General features: G+C 36.1%; 1 protein-coding gene across 3 annotated transcripts in view; it reads left to right on the forward strand.

Moving 5' to 3' along the window:
- LPCAT2 (lysophosphatidylcholine acyltransferase 2) overlaps positions 1 to 16,544 on the forward strand; it is a 77,595-nt gene extending 61,051 nt beyond the window's left edge. For all 3 annotated transcript variants that reach the window (NM_017839.5, XM_047434277.1, XM_011523169.4), the window contains 3 exons: positions 4,509 to 4,607; positions 8,987 to 9,122; positions 12,792 to 16,544. In NM_017839.5, the coding sequence (NP_060309.2) occupies positions 4,509 to 4,607; positions 8,987 to 9,122; positions 12,792 to 12,976 (420 nt within the window). In that variant the 3' untranslated portion in view covers positions 12,977 to 16,544. The remainder of the gene's footprint in view (positions 1 to 4,508; positions 4,608 to 8,986; positions 9,123 to 12,791) is intronic.

Consider the following 16,544-nt stretch of genomic DNA (forward strand, 5'->3'; position numbering starts at 1 on the left):
AAAAGTAACTTTATCTTGATATAATCCACTAAATTTTATAACCTATAAAAAAGGAAAAAGAATCATGTGCTCTGTAACTATGAACAGCAAACTACCAGAAACATTCAAAATTTTTATGTGATCTTAAAGGTCACTTTAAAAATATTTTTGGGTAGCGGTGCATGTGTTTTTAAAAGTTGGTTTATCTAGCTACCCCAGTCAGAAATCTTATCAGTACTGGCTAGGCATGGTGGCTCATGCCTGTAATCTTAGCACTTTGGGAGGCTGAGGTGGGCTGATTGCTTTGAGCCCAGTAGTTCAAGACTAGCCTGGGCAACATGGCAAAACCCCGTTTCAACAAAAAAATTTAAAAAATCCCCACAACTAGCCAAGCAAGTTGGCGCACACCTGTAGTCCCTGCTACTTGGGAGGCTGAGGCGGAGGATCGCTTGAGCCCGGGGGGTCCAGCCTGAGTGACATAGGGAGACCCTGTCTTGAAAAAACAATTATTTAAAAAAATCTTATCAGTAGTATTAAACAACTACCCGTATAGTGGGGACTTAAAAAATATTTGTGGAGGCACTTACAAAGTATGGATATCTAATGTGCCTACTGATCTTGAAGAACCTTCAGAATTGCTTTTTAAAAATATTTAAGTATATTAAAACAATTTTATTCCTAGAAACTGATTCAATTATGTATATGGGTAGAAATATGCTCTTAGAATATTCAGTTAAATCGAATACTTCTTCCTGTACTCTTCTGTACAGCTCAGAATTTACTGTATTTTAATAATAATACTCCTTTGGATTTATAGAGTATCTCTGACGATGTGAAGACTTTTTTCTGTTGGTTGCTGCCAAGTAAATTCTGTTTTATGTAAACGTTTTAAAATTATTTTGACAACACTGATTATCTCTCATTTACAGGGATGATATATTTCAGTTATAACATCAGAAGGAAAAATAGTCCCTCTTCTTGGGAGTTTATCATTGCAAAATGTATTCAAAACCATATCCTTAAATTTTACTAAACATAAAAAGTTATAAAGAGTATCTAATTCCACATGAATAAAGATGTTGAATAAATTCAACTATGAAACAACTGGAAGGAACTGATACCTGAGAATCAGACACATGAGAATCACCACTTATTTTTTCAAGAGTTTTAAGTGGACAATATTTGAACAAGTAGCCTAGAGCTTCCTGCTGGCCCTGAAAGCTGGTGTTGTGTGACTAAGCAGATGAAAGGTGCTGGGGGGCCATGAGCTCACAGTGACCTCCCCTCACACACACTTCCATGCTTTTCTGATCCTGCTGACTTCCAGGAAAGGGATGGGGCCCACTGTCTGGAGTTTCCATGAGACCATTATCTTTTCTATTTGTACTTACCCAATGTAACTCCTTAGTTCTAACTCTGGACTTCTCTGGGCTCCAGATTAGGACAGGTTATGGAGGGATTACGGCCTCCCTCCAAAGAGCTGGTCTCCTTTGAAATGTGGCCCTGAAATATCTTCAAGTCTGGATTTTTTTTTATTAAGTTTATAATTCTTCCTGGGGACCTCAGTAGGTTTTAAAGAAAAGAACCAAAGATTGTGCAATAATTCTTATCATGATACTGATTTGACATTTAAGAATTAAAAAAATAGTATATTTTGCTGTATAATTTTTATCTGTTTTGGGGTACATTTTATCAAGCTATTTGCTTTAGTAAGCAGCCAGATTATCTAAATTTTAATTGCAGCTATGGCAATAGTGAGTTTTGTGACCTCAAGAGAAACTTTTGTCTCATTTTTTTCATTGGTAAAATGAAGAAGTTGAATGGATGATTTATAAGATTCCTTCCAGTTCTAAATTTTGTTATTCTGAATTTGGAATCTTAACAGTATATTGATTTACTAATCCAATAATATAATCTCTCAGAGTAATTTCCATGCTGCTTTTTCCTTCATATTACTAGGATGAAAAGATTCATATACCCTCTCTTGTGATCATCAAGATTCTTTGTCATTCAAAACCACTCGTATGTTAATGAAATTAGGGGTCCAGAATGTTACCTTGTTCTGTGACTAGTGGTAATGTTAAGAGTTTGTCACATTTCTATTTCTCCATCTGCAAAATGACTTAATGATGCTTCCTGACAAGTGTTACACATAGGGTTTGGTAGTATAGATAAAAACTGGATATCTCACAATAAAGATACAACATAAATTCAAAGGGGTATTTCCAATTATACAGACAATCTATGATAGTAACTTCAGTGTCCAGAAATCATTCTTGGATCTGTTCTTAAGAATTTCTATTTAAGACTTCTATGTTGCTTAGTGGAAAAAGCTAATTGCAGAAGAAATGTATCTATGTTGAGCAATAAAGCCATGGTTCAAGAAGCTCCTCAACCTCTAAGGTTCAGTAAAAACAGCCCTCCAGAGTGCATTAGAAAATTAAATGGTGGTGGCAAAGAAGGAAATGATTTCCTTTAATACTCTGCCTTCTCTGAAACATCTGGAGTGATGAAATGTAGATATTGGCGCTGGTTACCATGGTGTATACATTTGTCAAAACACATCAAACTAAGCTGGGTGTGGTGGCACACGCCTGTAGTTACAGCTCCTTTGGAGGATGAAGTGGAAGGATCTCTTGAGACAAGGAGTTCAAGCCTGTAGTGCGCTTATGGTCATGCCTATGGATAGCCACTGCACTCCGGCCTGGGCAAGAGAGTAAGAGCATATCTTTAAAAAAACCAAAGACCAAAAAACAAATCAAACCGTACATTTAAAATGGATGCATTTGGTTGAATGTAAATGTAATCAACACAAATAAAGCTGATTAAAGAAAAGGAAAAACAAAAAACAAAACAAAACAAAAACAGCTCTCTGACAGACTGGTAATCAGACAAAAGAAAGTCAGATGACCTGAATGTTTGTTTCAGGAATAAACCTTGTTCCTTTAGGGAAATCTTGAAACCTCTGTTTCTACCTTCTCTGGTGAGAAAACGAGATTAAATTATTACTCCTTTTAGTTTCCGCCCTGCAGTAAGATAAAGTAATATGGTGAAAATGATTCTTAACTTTTTAAGTTTTGGTTGCTTTGAGAAGCTAATAAAAGCTACATTTTTCTCTAGAAAGATGTCATAAAAATTGCATACCATTTCAGGGGCTTCACAGCCCTTCCTTCCCCAAATTCATCCATGAAACTCCAGCAAAGAATTCTTGCCTTAGTGTTTTAAAGTGGAAGTTCTATGAACCTAGAGTAGTAGGTAACGGTAGATGAGAAAAAGTTGTGTTTGTTTTTTTGTTTTTTTTTTTCTTAGCCCCTGTCTCTGTGCCTCGGAATGAGAATACATTGTTACACAAAGGAAACAGCCCTTGCTTTTAAGAAACTTTTGATTGAAGCGTAGATACTTCAACACAGATGATTATCATACTCTTGTTGTGTCAAATATTATTATTAGTCTATCAAATTAAGTACTGCCCTAGCTTTGTTGTTACTAGTTCATAGTTTATCTGGGAATTTATCACTTGAAAATTTTGCTGCCAAAATAATTCTAACACCTGGTATTATAATCAAGTACTTACTTACAGTTTCTCTTTCTTTCTCCCTCCTCCTACCCTCCCTCCACCTCTTTATCTTTTTCTAACACTTCCATCTCATTTGTCCCTTCTCCTCTACTCCCTCTTTCTTTTTTAGTTCTCTGTCTGGCCTCTCTTCCTTCAGTCCTCCCTACTTTCTACCTTATCTCTCTCTCTCTTTCTTCCTTTTCTCCTAAGCTTTCTTCTCTCCATTTTCATCTTCTTAGAGCTCCTGTCTAGGTAAACAGTTAATGTACAGGGAAAACTCTGTATTTAGTCAGCCTGAATTACAATAATCAATTTCTTCCCTTATATTGCCATCAGGAAATGCCTCCTAAGGTATATTATACTAGTTATGCTTTATTTTCATTGGCTTAGAAGTGTAAGATCTTCTGGGGTGATGTCCCCCAGGGCTATTAAAGTTGCCCAAGTTTGCTTCAGTTGCTCCTGGTTTACTATAGATTAAGCCTGGAAGAAAGAAAAAATGTAGCTGTGATTATTGCCCTTTTTCTTTTCTTTCATTTTCCACATGTGGAAGATTGCTTAGTAACCCCTTAGGACCCTTAATGACCCTTTGGTGTTGGTCTTTATGGCAGGACCACCAGTAATGGTGGAATGAACACTTCACTTCCACAAAGGATGAAACTCATAGGTCCTGCCTCCCAGAGGGGCTCCCATCATGGCAAAGCTGAGCTCAAGAACCCACACTGGGTGCCATAGAGCCATGATAAATGGCCCCAGTCATAAAAAGTTTATATTTATTGCTGAACAGAAAATATATTTTTCTTCCTTCTTGGGAATAGTTGGGCTACTTGCTTGCTGTTCCTTCTTAGTGAGACTTTTCTCCAAATAGTGAATGATGAGGTTGAGCTATAAGACATACCTGAATTTTACCTTGTAGTAGGATTAATAGTAATTCCACTAGTGGCCCTCCTAATTGATTTATCCCATCCTTTCACAGAACCATGATGGCAGCATTGACTTCCGAGAGTATGTGATTGGCCTGGCTGTCTTGTGCAACCCTTCCAACACAGAGGAGATCATCCAGGTGGCATTTAAGGTACTGTCAGCCCCATTGAAAGCATCTTGGTCTGCCTTGTAAACAAGTGTTGACTCTAAGTGTATTATTTGAAAATCAGTGAATCTATTATGTGATTTTATAGATCTGCTGTGACATGTACAGGACAATAATGTGATTAAGTCAGTTGCTACTAAGAATAAAGAAAACACAAGCATTTATTTAAGCAAAAAGTTTCTAGAAGTAGCCTAATTAACAACATCAAGATTGAAGAGCAGGAGATTTCACAAGCTAACTTAAAAAATTATTTCTTTTCAGCTTCCCCATTTTGAAGCCCCAAAGGGAAGTTTATAAATAAACACCACCTGTCACTAGTCATCCTAATTCAGTCTCTGGAAAGTTCTGATCTATCGTTATTTTCTCATTCTGTATGTCAGTGATATTTTCAGTGGTACTTTTTCTAATAAAATTTGTTTTGGCATTGTGGCGTCAGGTGAACACCATCATAAATGTCCCAAGTTCCTGCCCCTCATGTCTTCCTGTCTTGTCACATATATTTTCACAGCAATACAGGGATCTAAATTGGGAGCAGATGAATAAAATTCATGTCCCTGGTTCCCACAGAGCTTGATGAAAGTTCAAATTTTGAAGACCATTTGCTTACAAGTGCAAAACAAGAGGGAAGAATACATTCCCAAAATGTGTGTTCTGTTCTGAGAGTAAAGGGGCTTCATCTAATCAGTATGTTTAAATATGATACTCCCTTTTAGTTCTCTCAAGTAAAAGAGAAACTTCATTTCTCTCCTTGTCTTGCTAAGCTATGTATATTGGCTCTTGTTGTACAGCCACGTAGTTTCCTTGCTTTTGTCCAGCAAGAGAGCTGCAGACCTTCTCTGTTTCTGTTTTCTACTCATCTCTTCCTGACTTTCTTGGAGAAGAATGTCTCCCTGCAATTCCAAGAAGGCTTTCCCCCCTCTATTATCTAGAAAGACTTTCTTCTTCCAAGAGTTCTTTCTTATGTCTTAGAGGCCAATTGGGATAAGCCTTAGGAATTTTCATGTGCACTATCATTGACAGAAGAGCCCCTGAGTTTACTTTTTATTTCAGATTGGTTTAAACTGAGTTAACTGCCAGGCTTATAAAGAACCTAAATGGTTGATGCTTAGCAGATGGTCATAAGGCAAGGGCCAGACTTTTTCCAAAGTTTAAAACCTTCAGCTTTTACAGACTTATTCATCATAAAACCTAAAATTACACACATAGCTAACTTATTCTTCTGATCTAGATATTTCTGTTTCTGTTTGGGGATTGTACGTGTAATTATCAGTTTAGTTGAGCAAATGGTCATTTTTGGTTTACCAATGAAAGACCTGATATAAAATTTGGCCCTTAATCACAGTAATTACGATTTGAAAGAAGCTGTGAGATTTTTGTCTAGCCTAGACCTTGGTTTGGGGAAGGGGAAGGGAAGAAAGGAGGGCTTAAAACTATAATTAGCTTTTTTTTTTTTTCAGTAAGACAAGAATTATGCTTTACATTGGTTATTTTTTAACCCTCCTTTTTAAATGTGTTTTATGTTTTGGAAGTATTTTTGCATACTTTTTATTTAGTAGTATCCTTTTACATATAGGATTCTTTTACATACTTTTATTTGGATAGCACTTCACAGTTAATTTCCCATCTTTTATCTCATTTCACCTTCACAGTGACACTTAGAGTTAGAATATTAGTCAAGATTCTTCATTTGCAAGCAATAAGATAGACTGACTGACTGACGCCAAAGTGGAATTATTTGTAAGGCCAGGGAGTAGACTCAAGGGAAAACTCACAGCCAGGAAGCTTCAGAGGTCCTGGCTGCAGGAACAGCCTTACAACCTCCCTGGCCACTGCAGTTAAAATGAGCAAACTCCAACTCTGTTCATAATGCACATTTCAGGGAGGGTCCAGCTGGTCTTGGGCCATGTGCGTGATGGGAAAGACAGAATGTTTTCATTAAGATTCCACATTATTCTGTGCAATGGGGAGATATCAGTCCCCATTTCAAAGGAAACTGAGGTGTTAAACTTTCTACCAGAGTCTAGATCATGCATGGGGTTTACCTTAGATCTAGGAACTTTGTAGTGGGGAGTGACGAGTAAGTGAGGGAAATTGAAGAGTTTAGAGAGGGGAGTTATGGCAAAGGACACATATAGAGGAAGTAAAAGTCTTTAGTATGGACCATGTAAAAGGAGCTTATACAGAAGTGAGAGACACCAAAGCACCAAACCTGGCAAGAATTTAGACTGTTTAGATGAGTTGGCACAAACTGTTTAGAAATGGAAGGCCTCTGAAGAAAGCTTAGAGCTTGTGAGGAGGGAGCTAGGACTGAGTCCTGGCAATTACTGTTGAAGTCCAAGGCGCATGAAGAGCCTGAGGTCTACAGTTTGTGAAAACAGATGTCGATTCACTTTTCACTTTCCAACTATTGTATCCCCTAACTAGGCACTGAGTGGTAAGAAATGGACTTGAAGCCAGAGCTTTGTCTGCTGGGGCAACAAATCTCAACTTCAAATTATACTTTTTTATCCTCCTACCCTTTAGGGACCATTAAAACATGATTCAGTATTTGCTTATTATTTTTTTCATGGTTATCACCCCTTATCTAATACCTGTTTTTCTCTGTTTTTGATCTTGTATTTGGTCAGAAGTAGAAATCTCAACATCAGGAACTCTAGATATTATCTGCCTGGATTTGGATGCCCCCTGTACTACTTGCAAGTGGTGTGACCTTGGGAAAAGTTACTTAACTTCCTTGTGCCTCAGCTTTCCCATCTGTAAGATAGGACTGACAGTGGCACCTACCATAAGACTATTGTGAGGGTTGAGTGAGTTAGTACATGTAAAGTGATTTGAACACTTTTGATCAGTGCTTATAAAAAGTAAGTACTCATATCATTAAAAATTCTTAAGACCCAGGAGAGGATTTTGAGTATGGAATATTAATTATCCATCAGTTATCCTTATTTTGCTGCATGACTTTCAGTCTACCCCACTCTACTGCCTTTTCCCCTCCTCCTAAACCATATTCAGTCTCTCCCTTCCTAAAATAACCTCTTTTGTGCTTGGATACTACCCCGATTATCTCTTTCCCTTTGTTTCATAATTCCTTAAAATGAAGAGTCCATATTTCTTGCCTCTGCTTTTCACTTCTATTCATCTCTTGATTCCCATTACCATCTGGCTTCCGGTCCCCTGAAATTGTTTACTAAAATCATCAGGATCCTCTAATAATCAAATCCAACAAACGGTTTTGCTTCTTGCTAGGCCTTCCTATGGCATTTTGCTCTGTTGGCCCTTACCACTGTTAGCATCTCTTCCTCTTTCCTGAACACACCCCCTTAGCTTCTAAGATACATGCTCTGATTTCTTGGTTCTCCTATCTGGCTGCTGCTTTTAAGCCTTTTCTGTCAGTTCCTCTTCACTACTCATACCTCAGCTGTTGCTGTTCCCAGGACTTTGCTTTACTTTGTGCATTCTCTACAGATAAGCTCAAACATAACCATAGTTTCCATTCTTACCCAAATTCGTATCTCAAGACTCATCAGTTTCCTAAAATGATATTCTGAATCTCTTCTTTACTCCTGGCACCTCTGATTCAAATTTAACCTATCTAGGTCTAATTCTTGATCTCATTTGGCGCTTGTTCTGTTTTCCCACTTTGGCTAATGTAATCAGCTTTCACCCAGTTGCCTAAACTAGAAGATACCATTTTTACTTCTGACCTTTCCATCACTACAGACCCCTTATTGATATGCAAGTCTTGTCTTTGCTTTTCATGAATTCTATCCCTTCCTATCCTTCCTGCTTCTCAAACCCAGACTCTTAACTGGTTTTCCTGCCTCTGGTTTTATCAACCTCTTGCTCCCAATTCATCCTCCATACTCTGCCTCAAAGTTTTCTCAGTTCTCATAGGATCACACCACCTCCACTCCCATTATAATCCTACAGGATTTGGTGAGGAATTATATACCCACCATGATCTAATTCCTGTTTGTCTCTATCTCCTGACTGGAGCCCCAGGCAATCACTTGCCATTCTTTGTATATTCTGGGAACTTTTCTTCATGTTCTAAGACCCAACTCAAATGTCAACTCCTATGAAGCCTTCTTGGACCTCTCTGGGTAGGATTCATTATGTTCCCCATGGAGATCCCCTGTCCCTTTGTACTATGGACCATTGGTATAGCTCCTGTTTTAATCCTGTCTCTCTCAAACACCAAGCTACAGGTGTTGTGAGGGTAGTAGAGATGATACTTTCTTAATATACATATTTCTAGCCCTTGCCACAGTAGATGTTTGAATTATTAAAGACTTTATTTTCCAAGATTATTCCCTACCACTATGATCCTGAGGGAGCTAATTCTTACATTTTATTTTCTTCAGCTGTTTGACGTTGATGAGGATGGCTACATAACGGAGGAAGAGTTCTCCACCATTCTACAGGCTTCCCTTGGAGTGCCTGACCTTGATGTTTCTGGTCTCTTCAAGGAAATAGCCCAAGGGGACTCAATTTCCTATGGTGAGTAGGCAATCTGGCCTCCTGACTTAGTTTACAAGGAGGACATCCAGACTATGGACTGATGCTCAAGAGTACTGTTTCTCTTAACTAATTACATTAATAATAGACATAATAGTAATATTGATGACCACAGTAATAATAGTAGTAATGGCATAATAGTCATAGCTAATTATTGAGGACTTATATGCTAGGCACTCTTCTAAACATTTTATATATATTAACCCATTTAATCTTTATAGCAAGCCTATCTAATCGGTATTCTTAATTATTCTTGTTTTACTAAGATACAAAGACTTTAAGTAACTTATCTAAGACAATTTAGCTAAAGAACATCAGAGCCACAATTCAAAAACCAAAACAGTTTGACTTTGGAGCCTGCACTATTGACTCTACACTTTAGTGATCTCTGCTTTCAGTGTGGCCAGGCAAAACTGAACAAGTAAACCAAGTAGGTTGCAACTATAGTAAAGGAACATGGACTGAGGCACCAACAATAATAGTAGCTAAACGATTTATTGATGTTTACTATTAGTGACCTATGTAACTTTTCACATTCCTTGTCTCATGCCATCTTGTTAGCAACTCCTGTGAGTTAGGGTCTATCATGGAGAAAGACCTTGTGGCAAAGTGGCAGGTCTATCCATCAGTAACTGTCTTTTCTCTTGATGGCTCAAGTCCACCCATCAAAACAAGTTGCACTGGACTGAAGCTTCTCTATATTCACAGTGCAGTTGTTGAGAAACACACCTCAATGGAGAGACCAAGATAATTGTTTCCCTGTCTTGGGTTTGATGTGGTCATGGATGTCAAGCTGGCTTATCTTCCCCAGTCTTTCCCCTGAGGCTGGATGGAGACTCCTCTTTAATTACTCTTTCCTTATGGTGTTCAAGAGTTTCAGCTTGTTAACTTTCATGGGATGGGAAAAGTAGATCACATACTTCTCTTACTCTCTGTTTTTAATTACTGTCATTTAGGTAATTAAATGCCTAGGGCACTTAATCTATTGAGTTCATTTGAAAAAACAGGATAAAATGGGAAGTGTAAATACTGAGATGAAACTTATGAGTCATAAATTCAAGTGTACTAATTCTTCTCTGGCTATTTTCATAAGGAAGACTATTACTCCAAACTACTAAATTTTGAAAAACTAGTTGGAATAACTACTTCAATGGAAGCTAATACTAAAAATGATTTGTAGATAGCCATAATAACCTGTTGATTTAAGTAATTTTTCAGGGAAATCTGCTTTGTTTTTTGGAGTTCAACCTTTTTCTTTGCAGAATACAGAATATCTCCCCTTTCCCAATATTAGGCAAATCTGCTATTTTTTTCAAGAATGTTTGAAGTATTTAAGTATAATTTTGTTTAAAAAGTAGATATTGATAAATGTCATGAATGTGACCATTTAGATTGTTTAAATGTGATCCTTTAAATCAGGGGTTCCCAACCCTTAGGCCATGGACCGGTGCCGATCTGTGGCCATTAGGAACGGAGTTACACAGCAGGAGGTGAGTGGCAGGCGAGTGAGCATTAGAGCCTGAACTCCGCCTCCTATCTGATCAGTGGAGGCATTAGATTCTCATAGGAGCGCATGAACCCTATTGTGAACTGCACATGTGAGGGATCTAGGTTGCACGTTCCTTATGAGAATCCAATGCTTGATGATCTGAGGTTGAACAGTTTCATCCTGAAACCATCTCCCCAATCCCCTTTACCATCCATGGAAAAATTGTCTTCCATGAAACCAGTCCCTGGTGCCAAAATGGTTGGGGACTGCTGCCTTAAATTACTTTATTTTCAGTTTTCCATTATCTAAATTAATGCTCAAATTCCACATAGAGTCAATCACAGGACTTCCAGCAATGAGTTACTCTTTAATGCCACTGACATCCCAACAGAGGATCTTGATCTTTTGGCCATAGCACAAGTCTTGAAATTAAAGTTCTTGGTTTCAGTAGATCAACTGTCATGCTCACTTATCTTCAAAGTCACTTAAGTCTTCTATGTGTCTCCGTCATTGAAACAGACTCATGTAGATTAAACTTCATCTATTTTTATTTTTTTCTATAATGTATCCCTAGAAACAAGAACCTTTATTTTGGAAGTTAAAAAAGAACAGTTAGTAGTTTGCCTGATTTAGAAATAAAAAGTGGTTTATTAATGCAAAACAACATTGCAATTGCAAATAATGATTTGAGTTCAATCTGGTGACTTCCTCATCACTAAGACCTGTTTGTTTATTTGTTTTTTTGAGATACGGTCTCACTCTGTTGCCCAGGCTGGAGTGCAGTGGCATGATCAGAGGTCACTGCAGACTAAGACCTATTTTTATATTCAAGAGTTAGGTAGCCTAATGTGTCATGAAGCAGACCCTTGCTTATCAGAGGATTTTTTAAAAGTAAATGTATAGAAATAGGACATTTAGTTAACATTATTTTATTATAGAGCCAAATGGCAGCTAATCCAAAGACCATGCTATCTTTGCTCTAATAAGCTCAATAAAGTTTTATCCACCCAAAAGAAGAGAATAGAAGGATTTCAAAATAGAAGACAGAATAATATTTCAGAAACTCCAGGTTACTGGAGGATTGAGGTTCAAGTCCTGATAGTTAACTAAGTAAGCCTTCTGTAGCCCTATCTCAGCTTCTAAAACACTTGAGATAAAAAGAACTCCTCTACTTGGAGGTCTTGTGGTATGATTATTATATATTGTACACTTTCCTATCCATTATTGATTACAAATCAAGGCTCAGCTTTTTAAGACTGTATTTTTCTGTACCAGAGTTAAGGGCTCAAATGGTTTTAAAAACCAATTATAGAAAGTGGTGGGTAATATAATTTTTTAAACATTTTTTAAATTGCTAGAAAGAACAAAAATACAGAAAACTAAATAAAACATATAAAGCACAACGAAGTTTTATAAAGTGAACACCCATGTAACTACCATTCAAGTCAAGAAATAGAGCTTTTCCACAACTCCAGAAACCCCTGTGTGCCCTTTCCCAACCACACCCCTACCTCTCTCTTAAAGAAGGGGGTTGTTATCCTGACTTAAAAAGGAATCTCTGCCTTGCTTTATTTTACTTTAACAGTTCACCCCTAAAGTATGTACCTTTAAATATTAAATTTTAGTTTTGTCTAAGTTTTTGGGCTTTATATAAATAGACTCATACAATTATGTGTTACTTTATATCTTGCTTTTTTCATTAAACATTATGGCTTTAAGATTAATCCACATTGTTTCTACATAGCTGTTTATTCATTTTCATTGCCATATGGCCTTATGTTCCATGAGTATGACACAATTTATTTATGCATTTCTACTGTTGATGGACATCCAAGTTGTTTTTATTTTTTATCTATTATAAATAATGTTGCTGTGAACATTCTCATACATGTCTCTCAGAGCACAATATGCACAAATTTCTCTAGGATATATACCTCAGAGTAGAATTAATGGGTCAAAGAGTATGTATATCTTCAACTTGACTAGATAATGGAAAAACTATCTCCCAAAGTGGTTGTACAACTTATATTTTCATCAGCAATGTTTGTGTGTTGGGTAGTAGAATTTTGTAATAATTGCATTATTAGAGTCATTTATTAATCTGCATCATGCCAAAAGAAGATTCACCCCAACTTATTGGATTTTTTTTCTTTCTCTTCTAGAGGAATTTAAAAGTTTTGCCTTAAAGCATCCAGAATATGCTAAGATATTTACAACATACCTAGACCTCCAGACGTGCCATGTGTTTTCATTACCAAAAGAAGTCCAGACAACCCCCTCCACCGCCAGTAATAAAGTCAGCCCTGAAAAGCATGAAGAGAGTACCTCAGACAAAAAAGATGACTGAAAGCAGTATTTCCAATAAGGAAAACACAGTAGCTTTTGCTTGAAATTGTAAAGGCACTTATTGATAATACTTTTAATGTGTTGGTAATGATGTTTAAAATTGAAAGATTTTTAAAACAAAAATGATAGATTTTCTTACTAAAAATGTTTTTATTAACCTTGCTTTTATTGGAAAAAATCAAGCAATATTTCGTTTTCTTTTGTGTTATATTGTACTTTACTGATTCATTTACTGGTGATACATATGTTTTTATGGATTTTCCAGTTTAATTTGCATATACAAATGAATGCAATGGTCTATTGGTGAGCATTGAGCAACACTGTATAAAGTTTTAAAAATGTAAACACTTTTTAATCTACTTTCCTCTAAAAATCAATAATATTCTATTATTTCTAATCCTTTTCCACTTGGGAAATAACAATGAAGAATCTGAGAATTTGACATCTATAACTTTACAGATTCATTTTTCCATTTAAATTTCAGTTTCTTGGATCACTGAATATGGGAAGGGAGAGCTTCACTAATTAGACGCAGCTTCTTAAGAACTTATATTCTCTTTGACATACATCTCTATTGTAGTTTTTTGTTTTGTTTTGTTTTTTGAGATGGAGTCTTGCTCTGTCACCCAGGCTGGAGTGCAGTGGTGCAATCTCAGCTCACTGCAACCTCTGCCTCCTGGGTTCAAGTGATTCTCGTACCTCAGACTCCCGAGTAGTTGGGATTACAGGTGCCCACCACCACACCCGACTAATTTTTGTATTTTTAGTAGCCATGTGGTTTTGCCATGTTGGCCAGGCTGGTTTCGAACTCCTGACCTCAGGTGATCCACCCACCTCAGCCTCCCAAAGTGCTGGGATTACAGGTGTGAGCCACCGTTCCCGGCCTATTGTAGATTTTCTTAACTACTTGCTAAGGAAATCATATCCTTTTACATGAACTACAGGTTTAGAACTTGGTTTTAAGACAACTGCTATGGCCAGAAGGTAAATGGGAATTGCCTTATTGAAGGTAACATTGATTGCCTAATAAGAAAATGAATTGTTTGCCACAGAGTTGAATTTAATTTGAGTTAGATAGTTCAGAATGTAGCACTTGCCCTATAAATGAATCAGATTTGTTCTATTTATATAATATTAGAATTAATATATTATCATGTAAGTGGGAATTTTATTTTGTTAAGTGGACTCTCAAATTTTAGAACTTGTGTGAAATATCTCCCAGAAAACACAAAAGGTTTCAAGGTATCACCCAAAGCTAGGGAATCAACAAACGTACTTTATTAATGCAAGACCACAATTTAAGCCCCAGGCAGGAATCCAACAGTAACATTTTTCCTTTAGGTTAAGCAGTAATTTTTTTGAATTGTCATTTTTAATGGGTCTCACACATGCATATTGCTAATATCATTCATGTTTGAGGTTTTCAACAAAGAACCAATTTATTAATATAATGTACAAAAATAGTTGGTTCATTTTCTGAATTCAGTCTTTGAAATAAAACTCCTTGTTTTGGCCGTGTTTCTGAATGTATTGGTGATTCACCCCCAAGCTAATTTTTTAAAGTCATTTTTGAAGTTGGGAAGTCTCATGAGAGATGTTGAAGTATGTATTTAATCAAGAGTCATGATTTCAAACTAGTTTTACATATTAAGCAGTTAGTGTTCTAATTTAATGGGTAAATGTGTGTTTGGATAAATATCTGAAAATTTTATCCTTAAGTATATATAATTATTTGCCTCTTATATGTCTTAAAGCTATTTAAACAAGGTGTTAAATGAGCCAAAACAATTAAGTAATTAGAACAGTACATTTTTATCAGAGTGTCTGTCATATGCAATGAATGTATGTAATACTAAAAAATCATGACTACTTTTATCAAAGAAAAACCACACATTAATCCTATTAATCATGAAAGCGTAGCATTGTAAATTAAAGGTTTTCTTTGAGGCTCTTGAAAGTGATCCCATTGCTTTCCTGTTTTAAAAATATTTTATGCTCTTTATTTCCACTTCTGTGAATGTGATATTTCTATTTTGTGATTATGTTACTGAATAAACAAACTTGCTACATAAAATTCTTAGCAATTAAAAAAATTCTGATTCTGCCATTTTGTCTCAAATGTAATATACCCTTTTAATATCATATGTTTACATATTTATGAATGATTAATCATTTTTGTTTGCATTAAACTTTATGAAATGTCAGAAATGATTTTACTCTAATGAAACTCAAATTTTGCCCAAAGTAGCAATATTCTTAAAGATGTTGAATTTTGACTGGTTGAATTTTATATAGTAACACACAAGTCGTGATCATCAATATTATTGCAGACCAGGACTCTGCTTATATGCCTTGCTAACAAAGATTTCTTTCACAGAGGCTTTTCTCCTCTCAAGACTTAAAGTAAGAATTACATTTTATTAAGTCAGTTAAATGCACCATGGCTTCATATAGTAATATAAAAAAACTCTTTGAAGTGAGAAATATTATATCCTAAAACCTCTAAACCACAAACATTCAATTGAAAGAGTTCTGTTGAAGGATAATGACATACTGACTGCTTACAGACCAAGTTGCTTGCATTTTGTATGTTTAGCCCTCCTTTGCCACTGCTTTTAGAGCCTTGGAAGGCTAAGTGTGATAGTAATGCTAGCTCTAATGCATATTTAAAGGAGACTGCCTCGCTTTTAGAAGACATCTGGTCTGCTCTCTGCATGAGGCACAGCAGTAAAGCTCTTTGATTCCCAGAATCAAGAACTCTCCCCTTCAGACTATTACCGAATGCAAGGTGGTTAATTGAAGGCCACTAATTGATGCTCAAATAGAAGGATATTGACTATATTGGAACAGATGGAGTCTCTACTACAAAAGTCTTTGGGTATTTGTTTCTTACATAGAAAATGCTAACATGAATAGAAAGATACTGGTGCAAGACCATTCCCGGGAAAGTAGACATACTTACATTTTTTTCCTTTTCTGCTCATTTGAATGAACTCAATTTTATGTTAAATTGTTATATCAGAGTGACAAATAAGTGCTATGGCTTGATAGAAGTGAAGCTCTTCACATATATTCAAAATACATATCACAAACTTTGGTAAATAGGATAGTAATCTGAAGAACTTTTGCCCTTTTTACCCCATTTACTGTAACTCTTGTTTCTAGGTAATCGTTCTCTCTCAACAAACTTCTCAAGCGTCTGTGTAACAAGCCACATGTTCTAACAAATTGTCTCCATCGCACTTCAACAGCCAGGTCCCTATTTTTTATAACGTATTAACCTTATTATTTTCTTATTATTTTAAAAGAATCTATGCACATTAGCAAAATTTAAAAGATAGAGAAAAATATAAACAGAAAAAATTATGTTTACTTCTACCACCCTAAATCAACTATTATCAATTTTATACATATTTTACTCCATCTTTTTTCAAAGTTTCTTACATTTTCCAATGTCATTAAAATTCTCTGTGAATGTAAATTTTAAAAACTGTACCTACTGTTTTTTGGAAATCTGTAACAAGCTATGTGTAATCATTCTTCTAATATTAAACATATTGTGTCCAGAA

The sequence above is a fragment of the Homo sapiens genome, chromosome 16 (genome assembly GCF_000001405.40).
Source record: "Homo sapiens chromosome 16, GRCh38.p14 Primary Assembly".
Lineage (NCBI taxonomy): Eukaryota > Metazoa > Chordata > Mammalia > Primates > Hominidae > Homo > Homo sapiens.